The following is a 19,869-nucleotide window of genomic DNA, read 5'->3' as shown; positions in this document are numbered from 1 at the left end:
GGCTCCAGGGCCTGCAGTGCAGTCTAGCTCACTGTGGATGTGGCTAAGATGCTCAAGGCATAGGTGCTTATGTAGCAGTGGCAGAGCTAGGGTCTGCAGCACAGGCATGTACATAGAAATCACACCTCAAGAGTCTGGAGTGGGCTGGGCACAGTGGCTCACACCTGTAATCCCAGCACTTTGGGAGGCTAAGACGGGCAGATCACCTGAGGTCAGAAGTTTGAGATCAGTCTGACCAAGATGGTGAAAACCCATCTCTACTAAAAATATAAAATTAGCTGGGTGTGGTAGTGCACACCTGTAATCCCAGCTACTCAGGAGGCTGAGGCAGGAGAATCACTTGAACCTGGGACGCGGAAGTTGCAGTGATCTGAGATGATGCCACTGCACTCAAGCCTGGGCAACACAATGAGAGTGTCTCAAAAAAAAAAAAAAAAAAAAAGCCTGGAGCAGTGTTATTCCACAGCAGTGGTGGCTTCATTGTCTGAGGCACAAGTACATGTGTGCCACAGAACAGGGATGCGGAGCATAGACACATGGAGAAGCCATGAAGTCCTAGGCACACACAGGGTTGGGGATTGGTGGTGGTCCAACAGTGGATTTTTCTTGGAGTGGGGGCACAGTAGCATCTCCCTATCCAGTATGTTGCAACAGTGATGGCTGTTGGCTACCTCAGTGAAAGCTTCCAGTGTCCTTGGCAGAGAAGGCCGCTGGAGACCATGGTGGCATTCGTTGCCTGCTTGATAACCATAGCCCCCATCTTTCTTCTTTGTTCCTAGCCATTGCCAGGTGTTTCAGGTATGCCAATCTTCCCAAAAATCATTTCTGTGCAGTTATTCTGTTTTTTCCTCCACTACAAGTTTTTACTTGAACCCTCCCAAGGCTATTTCCATTGGTCAACAGATGTGTAATTGTTTTTTGTGTGTGAGGGAATAAAGAGTGGTGTCTCTTACCCCACCATTTTCCTGACATTACTCCCTTGGCCAATCTCAGATTAATCATAAGTGAGGATTAAACATACACTGGGAAAATAAATGAAATAAATTGCCAGCATAACATCTTTGCTTCCCTCAATTTAGATTGATAAATTTATGGGATGGTTGTTTTTGGTAAATGTTGGTATTTCTAAGGTCTTTAAAAAGTGTCAGAGTTTTGACTAAGCAAAATTCCTACTCTTAGGATACATCTAGCTTCCTGTAGGTTATGAAATAGGCTGCTTGTGAAATATGATAAGTGGGTGGCATGGCTATCTCCTAACAAGAGCACTCCTGGCATTTAAACAAGGTTGCCATTACAAACACATTAAAGAATACGTCATCCCGGAGATAAAGATTCATTCTTGAATATTGCTAATTAAAGCTTCTTTACTACTCTATAATCAGTTGAACCTATATCCCAGCAAATTAAAAAAAAAAGTTTAGATGTGACACATTCCAATAATGAATCACATACTCTGACAGAGTTCTCTCAATAAGTTTAGACTAGCTTTTACCCTCCTTTGTCAGGATGAGACAAGGATAATAAAAAATGTTGCATTTTTAACTAAAAGACCACTCTGAAATGTTAGAACTAGTATTTCTTTTATTAAATAGTTGCTTTCAAACATGATAACATGTAATACAACTTTAATTTTTGTAAAGAAATTCAAGAAAGGATTAAAATTCTAAGTAGATGGAGACAATTGAAAGATTGTGAGATCAACAAACTTATTTGGAAATTTAACAAAAACTAAGAACGCTTTATTTCAAAAGTATAATCAGGACAATTAAAAGCTAATTAATCATGGCAGAAATTGTATTTATGGGTTAAAAGAAAAGCTAGAGAGATTATCTTAGAAATAATAGGAAAAGTACAACAATAAAAATTACATGGGATACTCAAGAAAGAGGAGCATCTCACAATCCCCCAAGCTTGTGAATAGCAGCAGAAGCATTGACTCATTATGAAAGCCAATGAATCAACATCAACAAATAGAGCCCTTAGAAGTCACCATTGCTGTCTTTACAATAAGAACATGTTGCACTCAATGAAAAGCAATGACTTTTCTTGAACCCATTAGAGACCTGAGGTTGCAGGGAAACTATCACCTCAATTTCAAAAACGACAGGCACATGTGCTGTCTTCTTACACATGGCAGAAGATGCTGGAGCTATCAACCCTTAAATTGACAAGTTGCTGGAGTTTACATGTGAATTAGTGTTACAAGTTAGAAATTCCTAGGGAATGCAGTGTTAGGAGACCTTCCACATTCATGGGCTTTACTTTCGGGAACACTACCAGAAAGATCTCCTTATGGCTCTCACAAAGAGAAGGGAAGAGTAATCACTATAAAATATACCCAGTCCCTTCCCCATTATGAAGTTCTACTCTCCAAGTAACTTACCTACAGAACAAAGAAAAAATTATGGTAGACTTTTCATGCAAGCAAGAAAAAAATGGGTAAAATATTTAAAATATTTTTAAAGCCAGCAACCTAAACTTCTAGATCTAGCAAAATTACTCATCAAAATGTTGAGTAATATCATCAAAAGTGAAGGAAAAATATTTTTTCAGACAAATAATATCTGAGATAAATCATTTCCTACACATGTACCTTGTAAGAAATGTTAAAACAAGTTTTTGAGGTAGAAGAAAAATTATATGGATTAGATATTGAGTCCACATAAAAGAAAAAGAAATAAAGGTAAAATAGAATTTTTAATTTTCTTATTGTAAATTGATCTAAAACATAACGGTTTGAAGAATTGTAACAATGTACTAGGTGATTAAAACATAGATAAATAAGTGAAAATAATATCACAAAGGATGGGAGAAAGAGATTGCGGTAATTCTGTTCTAAGCTACCTATACTACATGTCAAACAGTATTGTATTTCCTAAAAATGGATCTAAATTAGTTTAAAATATGTGTTATAAAACAGAGGGAAAAACTCACTAAAAATTATTTTTAAGGATAAAAGATAAGCTAGGAAAGGAGATGAAATAATGTAAAATAATAGCAGAGAAGGCAGAAAAAGAGGAAATATAAAGAATAAATGCAATGAACAGAAAACCATTAAAACATGGCGGACATTAATTGAACTGTGTTACCAATCACTTTAAATGTGAATAGTCTAAAATACATTGATTAAAACACAGAGAATGTCAGACTGAATTTTTTAAAAAAGATTCAAGTACTTACTATCTGCAAAAATGTTTCTTACACCTAAAGTCTTGGATATTTTCAAAGCAAAAGAATTGAGAAAAATATACCAAATAACAGCCATAAAAACCCCTGCATTGTTCAAGGGTCAGCTGTAATTGAGAAACTTTCATGTAGACTGAAACTGAAAGAAGAGATGTCAGGAGATAATAAGTATCACAAATGAAAAAATTCAATATAGACCTTATAGATATTTTTAAAGTAATACTGTGAATAATTTTTTGCTATTTAATTGTGTAACTAAGGTAAAGTTGATAAATTCATTGATATAAGAAACAGAAAATATAAATAGGCTTTCAAGTATTAAAATGAATTGGTAACTTAAAACATCTTTATAATAAAAAATCCAGACTGTAATGTCTTAACTGTTGAATTACATCAAATATTTAAGGGGAAAATTTAATATCAATATATTCCTACATAAAGTCTCTTAGAAAATAGTAGAGAAGAAAACACTCCCTGACGCATTTTATGAGGCATTACCCTAATTTTTTTTAAAAAAGTCAAATAAAAACAGACAATTTAATCAAGTTAACAGACAATCCAAAAACTATAGACGAATATTTTTCACAAACATAAAGATATTTATCAAAATTATAGCTAATTGAATCCAGAAATAGAAGCATGATAATACAATGTGAGTGGATTGAATATTAAATTGGTTAACATTCAAAGAATCAATTCATTATACTGATAAAATAAAAACATGTATAACCATTTTAAAATAGCAGAAAAGGCATGAAACAGAAATTAACATGTAATCATGGTTAAACTCTCAGAATAACAGCAGCAGAAACGACCTTGTTCACCTTAATCAAAGATACATGCAAAAAATCTGCAACATAAAAAAATGATTTTTGTTCTAAGACTTTACAAAAAAGAGGGATGTTCACTCTCACTCTTTGTAGTTTGTAATGTACTAAGAGCATGAAATGGTGCAATAAGAAAAGAAAGGTATCTAAAAGCATAAGATGGTAAGGGAAGAAGTAAAAGTGTCTTTCTTTGTAGAAGACTTAGTTGTACACAGAAAATCCTAAAGAATCCATAAAAAGTGCTACTAGAACTAATAATTCAGCAAGACTTAGGAATATAAGATCAAGGAAACTCTCTTACTATATACTAACTAGAGTTAGTGTATATATAGCATATACTAACTCTATACTAACAGAGAACAATTTTGGAAATTAAAATGTAAAGCAACACCATTTAAAACAGTAGAAAAACAATGAAATTATATGAAATTTAACAAAATGTGTACCAAACCATTTTACTGAAAACTCTAAGATATTTATGAGAGAAATTCAAGAAGCTCTATATAAATGGAAGGATATAATATGCTCATGGTTCATAAGACACAGTATTTTGAGATGTCAAATCTACTCAAATTAATAACCTCAATAAAAATTCCAGCAAGCTTTTTGAAGATACTAATAAATTGAATGGGTACCAAAAAAACAGAAAGAATAAGATCTACTATTTGATAGTACAACAGGGGAATATAGTCAATAACTTAATTGTATTTTAAATAAATTATGTATTTTAGGTAAATTTTGAATAAGACTATAATTGGTTTGTTTGTAACTCAAAGGATAAATGCTTGAGGGGTGGATACCCTCTTGCCCATGAAGTTATTATTACACATTGCATGCCTGTATCAAAACATCCCATGTACCCAATAAATATATATACAACTACTATGTACCCACGAAAATTAAAAATAAATAGATTCTAAGTTTACTTGCACATCCAAAAAACCTGGAATATCCAAATTAATTTTGAAAAAGAACAAAGATAAAGTAATCATGCTACCTAATTTCAATAATTATTATAAAGTTAAGTAGTGAAGAGAATGTGACATTAGAAATGAATAAACATAAATCAAGAAAATAGAGTACAGAAATAGATCCATATATATTTGTTAATTTATGGCCAAAAACACCCCAGGGTATTTAATGTGGAAAAAAGAGTTTCTAACAAATGGTGCTAGAACAACTAAATATCCATATGAAAAAAAAATGCATAAATAACTTTGATCCTTCCTTTACTGCATGTGTAGAAATTACCTTAAGATGGAACATAGAGTTAGATGTAAAGGCTAAAATTGCAAAACTTTAGAAGAAAACACAGATAAAAAATTCTTTGCAACATTGGAAGTAGACAAAGATTTTTAGATAGGATACAAAAGCCCACATTATAAAAAAATTAAATGTGTTTATCAAAATTTAAAACATCTACTTTGTCAAAGGTATTGTTAAAAAAAATACAAACAAGCCAGAAGTTGGTATAAAATTTGTTAATGCATATGTCTGACAAAGAACTTTTAGCCAGAAAATACAAAGAACTCTTGCAACTCAGAAAAAAAAAAAAAGACAAACCCCAATTTTATTTTATTTTTTATTCTACTTTAAGTTCCAGGATACAAGTGCAGAACATGCAGGTTTGTTGCACAGGTATATGTGTACCATCATGGTTTCCTGCACCTATCAACTCATTATCTAGGTTTTAAGTCCCGCATGCATTAGCTATTTGTCCTAAGGCTCTCCCTCCCCTTGTCTCCCACCCGTCGATTGGCCCCAGTGTGTGTTGTTCCTCTCCCTCTGTCCATGTGTTCTCATTGTTCAGCTCCCACTTGTGAGTGAGAACATGCGGTTTTCTGTTCCTGTGTTAGTTACCTGAGGATGATGGCTTCCAGCTCCATCCATGTCCCTGCAAAGGACATGATCTCATTCCTTTTTATGGCTGCATAGTATTTATTGGTGTATATGTACCACATTTTCTTTATTCAGTCTATCATTGATCAGCATTTGGGTTGATTCCATGTTTTTGCTATTGTAAATAGTCCTGCAATTAACATACGTGTGCATGTGTCTTTACAGTAGAATGACTTATTTTCCTTTGACCCAGGAAATGGGATTGCTGGGTCAAATGGTATTTCTGGTTCTAGATCCTTGAGGAATTTCCACACTGTCTTCTGTAATGGTTGAACCAATTTATATTCCCACCAACAGTGTAAAAGCATTCCTATTTCCCCACAGCCTCACTAGCATCTGTTGTTTCTTGACTTTTTAATAATCACCATTCTGACTGGCATGAAATGTTATCTCATTGTGGTTTTGACTTGCATTTCTCTATCAGTGATGATGAGATTTCATATGTTGTTGGCAGCATAAATGTCTTCTTTTGAGAAGTGTCTGTTCATATCCTTTGCCTACTTTTTGATGGGGTTGTTCTTTTCTTGTAAATTTAAGTTCCTTGTAGATTCTGGATATTAGACCTTTGTCAGACAGGTAGCTTGCAAAAATTTTCTTCCATTCTGTAGGTTGCCTATTCACTCTGATGATAGTTTATTTTGCTGTGAAGAAGCTCTTTAATTAGATCCCATTTGTCAATTTTGGCCATTGTTGCCATTGCCTTTGGTGTTTTTGTCATGAAGTCTTTGCCTACACCCATGTCCAGAATGGTATTGCCTAGGTTTTCTTCTAGGGTTTTTATGGTTTGGGGTTTTACATTTAAGTCTTTACTCCATCTTGAGTTAATTTTTGTATAAGATGTGAGGAAGGGGTCCAGTTTCAATTTCCTTAATATGGCTAACCAGTTTTCCCAGCACCATTTATTAAATAGGGAATCCTTTCCTCATTGCCTTTTTCTGGTTTCTCAAAGATCAGATGGTTGTAGATGTGTGGTGTTATTTCTGAGGTCTCTATTCTGTTCCATTGGTCTATATGTCTGTTTTGGTACCAATACCATGCTGTTTTGATAACTGTAGCCTTGCAGTGTAGTTTGAAATCGAGCAGAATGATGTCTCCATTTTTGTTCTTTTTGCTTAGGATTATCTTGGCTATATGGGCTCTTTCTTGGTTCCATATGAAATTTAAACTGGTTTTTTCTAATTCTGTGAAGAATGTCAATGGTAATTTGATGGGAATAGCATTGAATCTATAAATTACTTTGGGCAGTATGGCCATTCTCACGATATTGATTCTTCCTACCTGTGAGCATGGAATGTTTTTCCATTTGTTTGTGTCCTCTCTTATTTCCTTGAGCAGTGGTTTGTAGTTCTCCTTGAAGAGATATTTCACATCCCCTTTCAAGTTCTATTCCTATGTATTTTATTCTCTTTGTAGCAGTTGTGAATGGGGGTTCACTCATGATTTGGCTGTCTGCTTGTCTATTGTTGGTGCATAGAAATTGTGTTTTTTGCACATTGATTTTGTATACTGAGACTTTGCTGAAGTTGCTTATCCACTTAAGGAGTTTTTGGGCTGAGATGATGGGGTTTTCTAAATAAAGAATCATGTCATCTGCAAAGAGACAGAATTTGACTTCCTTTCTTCCTATTTGAATATCCTTTCTTTCTCTTGCCTGTTGCCCTAGCCAGAACTTCCACTACTATAGTGAATAGGAGTGGTGAGAGAGAACATATCCTTGTCTTGTGCTGGTTTTCAAAGGGAATGCTTCCAGCTTTTGCCCATTCAGTATGATATTGGTTATTGGTTTGTCATAAATGGCTAATATTTTGAGATATGTTCCATAAATACCTAGTTTATTGACAGCTTTTAACATGAAGTGGTGTTGAATTTTATCAAAGGCCTTTTCTGCATCTATTGAGATGATCATGTGGTTTTTGTCATTGGTTCTGTTTATATGATGATTTACGTGTATTGATTTGCCTATGTTGAACCAGCCTTGCATCCCAGGGTTGAAGCTGACTTGATAACTGAATAAGCTTTTTGATGTGCTGCTGGATTCAGTTTGCTAATATTTTATTGAGGATTTTTACACTGTCATTCATCAGGGATATTGGCCTGAAGTTTTTTGTTGTTATGTCTCTGCCAGGTTTTGGTATTAGGATGATACTTGGCCTCATAAAATGAGTTAGGGAGGAGTCCCTCCTTTTTAATTGCTTGGTATAGTTTCAGAAGGAATGGTACCAGCTCTTCTTTGTATCTTTGGTAGAACTCTGCTGTGAATCCATCTGTTCCTGGGTGTTTTTTGGTTGGCAAGCTATTAATTACTGCCTCAATTTTGGAACTTGTTATTGGTCTATTCAGGGATTCAACTTCTTCCTGGTTTAGTCTCAGGTGGGTGTACATGTCCAGGAATTTATCCCTTTCTTCTAGGTTTTCTAGTTTATTTGCATAGAGCTCTTTATTTTGTGGGATCAGTTGTGATATCCCCTTTATTATTTTTTATTGTGTCTATTTGATTCTTCTCTATTAGTCTAGCTAGTAATCTATGTTGTTAATTTTTCCAAAAAGCAGCTCCTGGATTCATTGATTTTTTGAAGGGTTTTCCTATCTCTATCTCCTTCAGTTCTGCTCTTAGTTATTTCTTGCCTTCTGCTAGCTTTTGGATTCGTTTACTGTGTTCCTCTAGCTCTTTTAATTGTGATAATTAGGGTGTCAATTTGAGATCTTTCTAGCATTCTGATGTGGGCATTTAATGCTATAGATTTCCCTCTTAACACTGCTTTAGCTATGTCCCAGAGATTCTGGTACATTGTCTCTTTGTTCTCATTGATTTCAAAGAACTTCTTATGTCTTAATTTCATTATTTACCCAGGAGTCATTCAGGAGCACGTTGTTCAATTTCCATGTAGTTGTGTGGTTTTGAGTTTCTTAATCGTGACTTCTAATTTGATTGCACTGTGGTCTGACAGACTTATGATTTCAGTTCTTTCGTATTTGCTGAGGAGTGTTTTCCTTCCAATTATGTGGTCAATTTTAGAATAAGTGTCATGTGGCACTGAGAAGAATGTATATTCTGTTGATTTGGGGTGGAGAGCTCTGTAAATGTCTATTAGTTCCACTTGATCCAGAGCTGAGTTCAACTCCTGAAGATCCTTGTTAATTTTCTGCCTCGTTGATCTAATATTGGCAGTGCAGTGTTTAAGTCTCCCACTATTATTGTGTGGGACTCTAAGTCTCTTTGTGGGTCCTCTAAGAACTTTCTAAGAACTTGTTTTATGAATCTGGGTGCTCCTGTACTGGGTACATATGTATTTAGGATAGTTAGCTCTTCTTGTTGAATTGATCCCTTTACCATTATGTAATGCCCTTCTTTGTCTTTTTTGATCGTTGTTGATTTAATGTCTGGTTTGTGTCAGAGACTAGGATTGCAAAACTCCTGCATTTTTTTTTATTTCCATTTGCTTGGTAAATTTTCCTCCATCTGTTTGAGCCTATATGTGTCTTTGCACATGAGATGGGTCTCCTGAATACAGCACACTGACGGGTCTTGACTCTTTATCCAATTTGCCAGTCTGTCTTTTACTTGGGACATTTAGCTCATCTACATTTAAGGTCAATATTGTTCTATGTGAATTTGATCCTGTCATCATGATGCTGTCGGGTTATTTGGCCCACTGGTTGATGCAGTTTCTTCATGGTGTCATTGGTCTTTATATTTTGGAGTGTTTTTGCAGTGGCTGGTACCAGTTTTTCCTTTCCATATTTTGTGCTTCCTTCAGAATCTCTTGCAAGGCAGGCCTGGTGGTGATGAAATCCCTCAGCATTTGCTTGTCTCAAAAGGATTTTATTTCTCCTTCACTTACAAAGATTAGTTTGGCTGGATATGAAATTCTGGGTTGAAAATTATTTTAAGAATGTAGAATATTTGCCCCCACTCTCTTTTGGCTTGTAGGGTTTCTGCTGTGAGGTCTGCTGTTAGTCTGATGGGCTTCCCTTTGTAGGTGACCTGGCCTTCCTCTCTGGCTGCCCTTAACATTTTTTCCTTCGTTTTGACCTTGGAGACTCTGATGATTATGGGTCTTGGGGTTGATCTTCTCATGGAGCATCTTAGTGGCATTCTCTGTATTTCCTGAATTTTAATGTTGGCCTGTCTTGCTAGGTTGGGAAGTTCTCCTGGATAATATCCTCAAGTATGTTTTCCAACTTAGTTCTATTCTTCCTCTTTCAGGTGCTCCAATCAATCATAGGTTTGGTCTTTTTACATAGTCCCGTATTTCTCAGAGGTTTTGTTTGTTCCTTTTTTTTTTTTTTTTAATCTTATCTGCATGTCTTATTTCAGCAAATTGGTCTTCAAACTCTGATATCCTTTCTTCTGCTTGGTCATGCTGTGTTTTTCAGCTCCATCAGGTAATTTATGTTCCTCTCTAAATTAGTTATTCTAGTTAGCAGCTCCTGTAACATTTTATCAAGGTTCTTAATTTCTTTGCAATGGGTTAGAACATGCTCCTTTAGCTCAGCAGAGTTTGTTATTACACACCTTCTGAAGCCTACTTCTATCAGTTCATCCATCTTATTCTCCCTCTGGTTCTGTGCCCTTGCTGGAGAGGTGTTGCAATAATCTGGAGAAGAGAAGGCACTCTGGCCTTTTGGATTTTCAGCAGTTTTTCATTGATTCTCATCTTCATGAGTTTGTCTAGTATCAATCTTTGAGGCTGCTGACACTTGGAATGGGTTTTTCTTTGTGGGGACTTTTTTGTTGATGCTGTTTGTTGTTGCTTTGTTTTCCTTGCAATGATCAGGTCCCTCTCTGTAGGACTGCTGTGGTTTGCTGGGGGTTCACCTCACGCCCTATTCATCTGGTTCACTCCTGCACCTGGAGATGTCACTCAAGGAGGCCGGAGAACAGCAAAGATGGATGCCTCCTTCTTCCTCTGGGATCTCTGACCTCGAGGGGCACCAACCTTATGTCAGTAGGAATGCTCCTATATAGGGTATCTGACAACTCATTGGAGGGTCTCATCCAGTTGGGTGGCACAGGAAGCAGGACCCATTTAACAAAGCACTTTGACTGTCCCTTGGTGAAGGGGGTGTGCTTTGCTGGGTGGAAACCCACTCATCAGGGCTGCCTGGATTCCTCAGAACTAGCAGGAGGAAAGACTAAGTCTGCTGCTCCTTGGAGACTGCGCCTCCCCTTACCCCTAGGGGCTCAGGCCCAGAGAGATCAGAGTTCTGTCCCTGAGCCCCTGGCTGGAATTACTGGAGTTCCTGCAGGGAAGTCCCACCCACTGAAGAGGGATGGGTCAGGGTCAGGCCTGAAGAGGCACTCTGTCCACAGTCTCCCACAGCCGGTGTGTTGGACCGTGGGGGATAGCTCTTGTGACCATGCTGTCCAGCCTTTCTAGTTCCAGCAGGAAAAAAGCACAGCCTGAAGCTATAGAGATGGCTGCTGCCCCTCCCCGACCCTGGGAACTTAGTATGTTAGGCAGCTATCAGTCCCAGTGTTAACTGTCACCCCTCCCCCAAGGAGCTCAAACAGCTTAGACAGCAGGCAGCTGCAGCTGTGGTGCTGTTCACTCCTCCCACTGGGAGCTGGGCAGGTTTAAACCTATTCTAGCTTGGTGGCTGTTGAGAATCTGCACAGCTCCGTGGCTGGGATCCTAGGCCCCTGTGGCATGGGCTTGCGAGTGGGATCTTCTGATCCGTGGGTTGCACAGTTCCATGGAAAAAGCATGTTTTCCCAGGCTGGGTAGCATGCTCACTCACCACCTCCCCTGGCCGGGGGATCCCCTGAGCCCTGTGTGGCTCTCAGTTGGGCCACCGCACCACACTGCTCTTCCTCCCTTCTCCATGGGTCATGTCAGATGCCTAGTCAGTTCTGATGACAGAACCTGGATACCTCAGTTGCCAGTCCAGGATTTGCATTCTGTTATGTTTCTTTTTGATGGGAGCCTTCAATTGCCACTGCTTCTAATGGGCCATCTTGGCCCCATCAAAGTCAAAACCCCAGTTTTAAAAATGAGCAAAGATTTGAACAGATAGCTCACAAAAGAAAATACATAAATTGCCAATAACCACAGGAAAATCATTAGACATCATGAAAATTCAAAGTAAAACCGTAGTGTAGTACTGCACTCTGTATTAATTCGTTTTCATACCACTATAAAGAACTGCCTAAGGCCGGGCGCGGTGGCTCACGCCTGTAATCCCAGCACTTTGGGAGGCCGAGGCGGGCGGATCACGAGGTCAGGAGATCGAGACCATCCTGGCTAACATGGTGAAACCCCGTCTCTACTAAAAATACAAAAAAAAAATTAGCCAGGCGTGGTGGTGGGCGCCTGTAGTCCCAGCTACTCGGGAGGCTGAGGCAGGAGAATGGCGTGAACCCGGGAGGCGGAGCTTGCAGTGAGCCGAGATCGCGCCACTGCACTCCAGCCTGGGCGACAGAGCGAGACTCCATCTCAAAAAAAAAAAAAAAAAAAAAGAACTGCCTGAGACTGGGTAATTTAGAAAGGAGAGAGGTTTAATTGACTCACAGTTCACCATGGCTGGGGAGGCCTCAGGAAACTTACAATCATGCTGGAAGGCGAAGGGGAAACAAGGCACCTTCTTCACAAGGTGGGAGGAAGGACAAGTGCGGAGTGAGAGGAAGAGCCCTTTATAAAAACCATCATACTATATCCCATGAGAACGCACTATCATGAGAACAGCATGGAGAAAACTGCTCCCATGATTCAATTATCTTCACCTGTTCTCTCCCTTGACATATGGAGATTATGGGGATTACAATTCAAGATGAGATGTGGGTGGGAACACAAAGCCTAACCATATCACACCCCCAATAAAATGGTTAAAAAATTTCAAATGACAGTACTCAGCACTGAGGAGAACATGAAGTAACTCAAATTCTTATTCATTGCAGGTAAGGCTGTAAAATAGTATAACAACTTTGAGAAACAGTTTAGCTATTTCTTATAAACACACACTTTCCATATGAGCCAACATGTCAACTTCTAGATAATTATGCAAGAGTAATGAAAACATATGTCCACACAAATACTTAAATATCAATATCTATAAGCAGTTTTATTGAAAAACTAGAACAATCTAAATGTCCATAGATGAATGGATTTTTTTTTTATTTTCAACTTTTCTAGACTCATGAGGTACATATACAGGTCTTTTCACATGGATATATTGTATGATGCTAAGATTTTGAGTATGAATGATCCTGTTACTGAGGGAGTAAGCACAGTACCCAATAGGTCATTTTTTTAGGACAAATTTTGATATATTTAACAAAATGGAACACTGCTAAGCACTAAAATATAACCAAACCCGATACAAAAGAGTAATACTCCACTGTATGGGTACACTTATATAAATCTGTAGAAACAACAAATCTGATCAATATTTGTATAAAGTGGGTCATTGGTCACCTGGGGACGAGATGCAGAAGGAATTTTCTAGGAATGGGCCCAAGGGCCCACTTGGCATGAAAGAAATACTATTCTATATCTCGATAGTGGTGTTGTTTACATGGTTCAAACCATATGAAATACGTCAGTTTTATAGTATATGAATTACACATCAAAAAATTAGAAAGCCAAACAATTAACAAAAAAGACAGTAGGCCCATAAAATTTAACAAGTATTGCGTAAACTCAAGGAAAGTCAAGTCTTTATGATATATAAGCACTTTTAAAATGCAGGAAAAGATTGAAGGGATTCAAATAATTCTGAGTTCAGTAGCAATCTCAAATTCCAAACTCAAAGGAACGTATCAATAAAAAGAAAACTGAAGTCAGAGGCCAACAAGAGTGGATCACAAACTGATTCCTGCCAATGACTGTGTTTTCTGTAACTGCAAAGGATTTGTAGGTTGACATCATTAATTGACATCAATTGCTTTTGATGACTTAGCCATAAATTCTTTGTCAAGATCAATCTAGAGAAGGATATTTCCTACATTTTCTTCTAGAATTATTTTTTACAGTTTCAGCTCTTACATTTAAGTCTTTAATCCATTTTGAGATAATTTTTGTATATGGTGATAGGCAGAGGTCAAGTTTCACTCTTCTGCATATGGATAGCAAGTTATCCCAGCACTATTTATTGAATAGGGAGTCTTTTCCCCAATGCTTATTTTTGTTGACTTTGTCAAATATCAGATGATTATTTCTGGGTTCTCAATCGTGTTCCATTGGTCTATGTGTCGTTTTTGTACCAGTACCATGCTGTTTTTGTTACTGTAAACTTGCAGTATAGTTTGAGGTCAGGTAATGTGATACCTCTGGCTTTGTTATTTTGGCTTAGGATTTAAAATATGCAAAAGACTTTAAACAGGAGCAAAAGAGAAATTCTAACTAGCCACTGAGCATGTGAAAAGGTGCTCAAAATCAGTATTCATTTGGGAAATGTAAATTAAATCCATAATGGTATATCTTTATGAACATACCCAGGATACCTATAATCAAAGATTGACAGCACCATTAAGTCAATGAGAAAGTGAATAAATTAGAACTCTCTTAAATTTTTGGTGGGAATGTAAGCTGGTTTTAAACACTTTGGAAAATTGTTTGGCAGTGTCTTCTAAAGCTTAATATATGCCTATCTCAATAATCTACAATTCCACTCATTGGAATTGAGTGGAATAACCAACAATTCCACTCATTGATATGTGTATGCGTGTGTGTCTGTGTGGGTGGGTGTGTGCGTATACATACACGAGGAATTTCTGCCCACGTCCACCAGGGGGGAAAGTATGTGCAAGGTGCTCATAGAAGTTTTATTCATAATAGCCAAAATCTTTAACTGAAATAGCCATCAATGGTAGCAAGCATTTAAAAATTATAATATATTCATACTATGAATATAATGAAATACTATACAGTAACTTTTTAAAACTGAATTCAAGCAACTACATGGATGACTCTCGTAGTTAAAATTCAAGGCAAAAGAAGCCAGACACAAAAGCCAACATATGGGAAGATTCCATTTACAAAAGGTCAAGAACATGTAAAACTAACCTATGGTAATAGGAGTCAGAATAGTGGCTACCCTCATGAGTCATTGTGGAAGGAGAAAAGATATTTACTCAAAAGGTTCATGGCAGCATTTCTGGGCTATAGAAATGTTCTGTACTTTAATCTCACTGATAGTTACCTGATATATTATAAATTTCATCAATCTGTACACCAAAGATATATGTGCTTTATACACTGCATTGTTTATATTTTAGATCCCAGTGAAAAGAAAAATACTTTTCACTCTAAAATGTATACAGTATAATACTTTTAGAATCAGACTAAATATTCTTTTTTTAAAAAAATTGCCTACATATTTCCAGAAGGCAGAAGGAAGAAGAATATTTGTTGTTTAAGATCTAGACTAGAACTAGCTCTTACTAGCCAAGTGCCTTTCAGAAAGCAAATGGCTTTGTCGAAACCAAGTTACTTTGCAAAAGCCATTCACTTCTGTATCCATGCAATAAGGTAATAAATCCTACACTGACCTTGTGCAAATCAAGCAAGATTAGTGTGAAAGTGTTTGCATATTCTCAAACCTTATTAGTATAATATATACACAGTAGTGCATATATTAGTATATATATAATACTGTTCATTTTTTCCAAAGTCCGTCACTAACCAAAAAGTAGTATTATAAAACAGATTATCATTTTAATCAAGAAATATTATCTTAATCTTTCATGAAAGGAAATATAACAAATGATTTTAATACTTTCTTGTATTTAAATGCTATCAAGTAGAAAATAAGTCACATAGAAAGTTATATAATTATTTCCATAAATTCTATCCTTATGCCACATATTAGAGTGTGAGCTATTTGAGGAAATGAACTGCATGTTATTAATCTTATATTCCCACACTGTACCTAGCACAGTGCCTGGAATTCAGTCAGGCCTTATAATTGATAAGTGAAATAAGACAGTCACAAAAAGAAATGCTTCATGATTCTACTTATATGAAATACCTAAAATGATCAAATTCATAGTATCAGTCCAGGCAAGTTGGCTCATGCCTGTAATCCCAGCACTTTGAGAGGCTGAGGCAGGTGGATCACCTGAGGGCAGGAGTTCGAGACCAGCCTGGTCAACATGGCGAAACCCCGTCTCTACTAAAAATACAAAAATTAGCTGGGTGTGGTGGTGGTGCAAACCTATAATTCCATCTACCCAGAGACTGAAGCAGGAGAATCACTTGAACCTGGGAGGTGGAGGTTGCAGTGAGCCAATATCACGCCACTGAACTCCAGCCTGGGCCACAGAGCGAGACTCCATCTCAAAAATAAATAAATAATAAATAAAATTTTTTAAAAATTCATAGAATCAAAGAGTGGAATGGTGGCTGCCAGTGTCTAGGGTGAGGGGAAAATGGAGACTTACTAATCGATGGTCATAAAGTTTCAGTTAAATGAGATTCATAATTCTAGAGATCTGCTGTACAACATTGTACCTACAGGCAACAATACCATATTGTACACTTAAAATTTGTTAACAGGGTAGATCTCATGCTAAGTGCTCTTAACACAATAAAATATAATTTTTTAAAAAGAGAATTTTAAAAATAAATGAACCACTTTAATCTGCCTTTGACTTAATTAATCTTCATGTTCTCAGCTATCTTCCTATCTTCCTTCTTTTATGTCACTCTTGCTTTTTCCATTTTCACAATTAACTTAAATCAGCTTACATCATTTGGGATACTTTGATTTTTTCTTAAGACTGCCTAGTAAATATCACTAAGAACTCAAGAGCTTCTCTAAAAATATCTGCAAGAGAATATTGGGTTAGAAAATTAGCATGACTTTAAAAGAAAACAAACATCCTTTTGCTATAAAATTATACATTTTCTATGTAACGAAGGCAAACACTACCTTATACTACAATGAAGTCTGGTGACTTGCTGCCAAGTCCCAGAGGAGGTATCGGAGAGGGTTTCTGACCTGGTATGTTGAGTTCATCAAGGCATACACTGCAGGTTTTACTTAAAATCCAAAACTTGCATAGCTCTAGAAGTCAACCCCTACTTGAACTAAAGCATTGATTAAGGATAAGCTGGGTTCCTTCCAAGTAACTTTGTTAGATTCTGGGTTCCACCCAAACTATGTTTATATCTTCAATTTCTCTTTCATTCTTCTTGCCGCACCCATACACATGCGCACACTCGTGCACATACATACACACACACACCCCATCCCTGGCATCTACACAATGGTAGGCATAGGTGGTACATGCTTCTTGACCTTTCTGCCACATTCTCACTTATTTCTGCACAGCTCAATTTAACTTTTTGTTACTCATAAGGCATTCTCCTTATTTTAAAATTCCTATGGGTCTATCTTACACACTTTGGGAAAACATCCTTTGAAATAAAAATCTTTGTAGCCTAACAAGAAGGTGGATATTTTCAAAGCCAAAGTTTTAGGTGGACTGATCTGGACTGATGACTTATTCTGGGAGATGAGAGGATAGAAGGAAAGGAAATGTTTGTTGATGCAAGCAGATGTTTTACAAACAATGGTAATGGAAACTCCAAAGATTGTCCATGTTAGTTGTGCCAACTCATTGTATATTAAAAATCTAACTTTCACTGCTATAAAATGACTTATTTTATATTAATAGGAAAATGACTTTGAAGTTATACTCCTTATATTTAGTGTAAGGTTAAAAATAATCTTTTTAATGTTTCCTAATTTTGCAAATGTATTCATTCAAGTAACTCAAGGCTTATTGTGTTAGAAATAACAGGAAATAAATGGAGAACACCATTAACTATGGGCATAACTACTTTTCTTTTAAGAAAAGTTATTCATTTAAAAATATATGTATTACATAATTTCCAAAGTCACCACATCTATAGTTACTTTAAGCATTGACTACAAAATAAAAGATGACTATTATGAATGTGTTCTTATGATACTGAATATTACAAATGAACATGATTACATTTGGAAAATTGCTATATACTTTCTAAATATTAACGAAATATTGACAGCCACTGTTTTTCTGCTTGTGTGCTAAGCAAAATGACATTCACATGAAGTCTAGGCTTCCTTTAAATTTCAGCTATTTTCTAGGAAGGGATATAGACGCTTGATTTTCTTCTCACTAGAGCCTTCAATATGTTCCCAGCAATAAAGGTTTAAAGTTCTTAGGTTGCCTCCTGCCACCCCTCCCCCAAGCATCTGACTTATTTGTGCCTTCCTTTCCTGCTATTTTACTGTATGTTTAGCCCTCCTAGAGCAGCAGTTTCCTTAGCAACAGGCTTGCCCTTTTAGAGGCTCAAACCATGACAGCCGCTTACAGGCAGGCATTCTCCCAGGCCTCTGTGCCGCCTCTCTCCCCTGTCTCCCCCATGAATGCTCAAAGGTCAAAAAGTAAAGTTCATGATGTTTCACTCTTTTCAAACAAAGGGCAGGAGGCTACAACAGGCTGAGAAAAGACATCTGAATGGGAATATCTTACATAAAAGTCACAATCTGAAATTTGTATGGAAAAGAACAGTTTTCACTGAAGACAAGGAAGGTGAGGTGGAAGCAGAGATTATAAAGGATAAAATCTGGAAGGTTGGCTACATGGAAAAACACAGTGGAAACCTCACATGAGCTAGCTGGAAAACAACATAATCTATTCTCCCTTTTCATAGGAATCCCAACATGAGAAGAGATGCTGAGGGTATTCTTGGCCAGTGCAAAACCTGGTACAATAATTAGAACTTAGGGTTCTGTGCCTTAGGTTCTGAGACTTCTTTGTTTAAAATTCATACCTTTTAGATAAGAATTTTAGACATTTTTAAAATGTAATAAAAGAAACAGTCACTGACTGAATTAAGAACCTGGAGACTATTTTGTGCTGTTTTTTGTGTAGAATTTTATTCATTGGGTCATCAAATATTTGTTAAGTGTTTACTATGCGTCAAAGAGTCTTCCATGTCTTAGGTACATCACTGAACAAAACAGATTTTTAAAAAAAAATTTTTTCCTTGAGAATATATTCAAATTTAAATTTATGCTGATGTGGTTAAAACATGGCACTTCTAAGAATTCACAGACAATAACTTCAAATTATATTACAAAGCTATCATAGTTAAAACAGAATGGTACTGGCATAAACATAGATGCACTGACCAGTGGAACAGAATAAAGAGTTCAAAAATCAACCCACACATTTAAGGTCAATTGCTTTTCCACAAAGATGCCAACGATACACAGTGAGAAAATGTCATTTATTGAAAGGATCTTCAATAAATGGTGTCGGAAAAACTGAACAGTAACATGAAGAATGCAATTAGAACCTTACCTCACACCATGTACACATGGTCCCTGACTTACATTGATTTTTATTTTTTGACTTTATGATAGTGCAAAAGCATGTAGAAATCATACTTTGATTTTTGATCTTTTCCCAGGCTAGTGATACGCAGCATGATACTCTCTTGCAGTGCTGGGCAACAGCAAGCCATTCCTGTTTTCATTTCCAGTGCAGTATCCAATAAATCACATGAGATATTAAACAGTGTATTACAAAATAGGCTTTTTGTTAGACAATTTTGCTCAAGTGTAGGCTAATGTGAGTATCTTGAGCATGCTTTTTGTTTTTTTAAGATGGAGTCTTGCTCTGTCGCCTAGGCTGGAGTGCAATGGTGCAATCTCGGCTCACTGCAACCTCTGCCTCCTGGGTTCAGGTGATTCTCCTGCCTCAGCCTCCCAAGTAGCTGAGATTACAGGTATGTGCCACTATGCCCAGGTAATATTTTTTGTATTTTTAGTAGAGATGGGGTTTTACCATGTTGGCCAGGCTGGTCTCAGAACTCCTGACCTCAGGTAATCCGCCTGCGTTGGCCTCTCAAAGTGCTGGGATTGCAGGCATAAGCCACTGCACCCAGCCTCCTGAGCATGTTTAAGGAAGGCTAGGCTAAGCTATGATGTTTACTAGATTAGGTGTAATGAATGCATTTTT

The 19,869-nt window shown here is 36.9% G+C and overlaps 1 long non-coding RNA gene across 1 annotated transcript in view, besides 1 other annotated feature; it reads right to left on the bottom strand.

Annotated features, from left to right (window-relative positions):
* Positions 1–19,869, bottom strand: part of LOC107986931 (uncharacterized) — a 290,196-nt gene that overhangs the window by 149,852 nt on the left and 120,475 nt on the right. The gene's annotated exons all lie outside the window — the stretch shown is intronic.
* Positions 18,047–18,341: an enhancer, noted in NCBI's record as "tiled region #10080; HepG2 Activating DNase matched - State 5:Enh". NCBI's record gives its function as "activates a minimal TATA promoter and a strong SV40 promoter by Sharpr-MPRA in HepG2 cells {active_cell/tissue: HepG2}" and the evidence as "EXISTENCE:reporter gene assay evidence [ECO:0000049][PMID:27701403]".

Source organism: Homo sapiens, chromosome 8 (assembly GCF_000001405.40).
Source record: "Homo sapiens chromosome 8, GRCh38.p14 Primary Assembly".
In the NCBI taxonomy this organism is placed as follows: Eukaryota; Metazoa; Chordata; class Mammalia; order Primates; family Hominidae; genus Homo; species Homo sapiens.
Note: the sequence above shows the minus strand (reverse complement) of the source record. Positions and strands in the feature narration are given on the sequence as shown.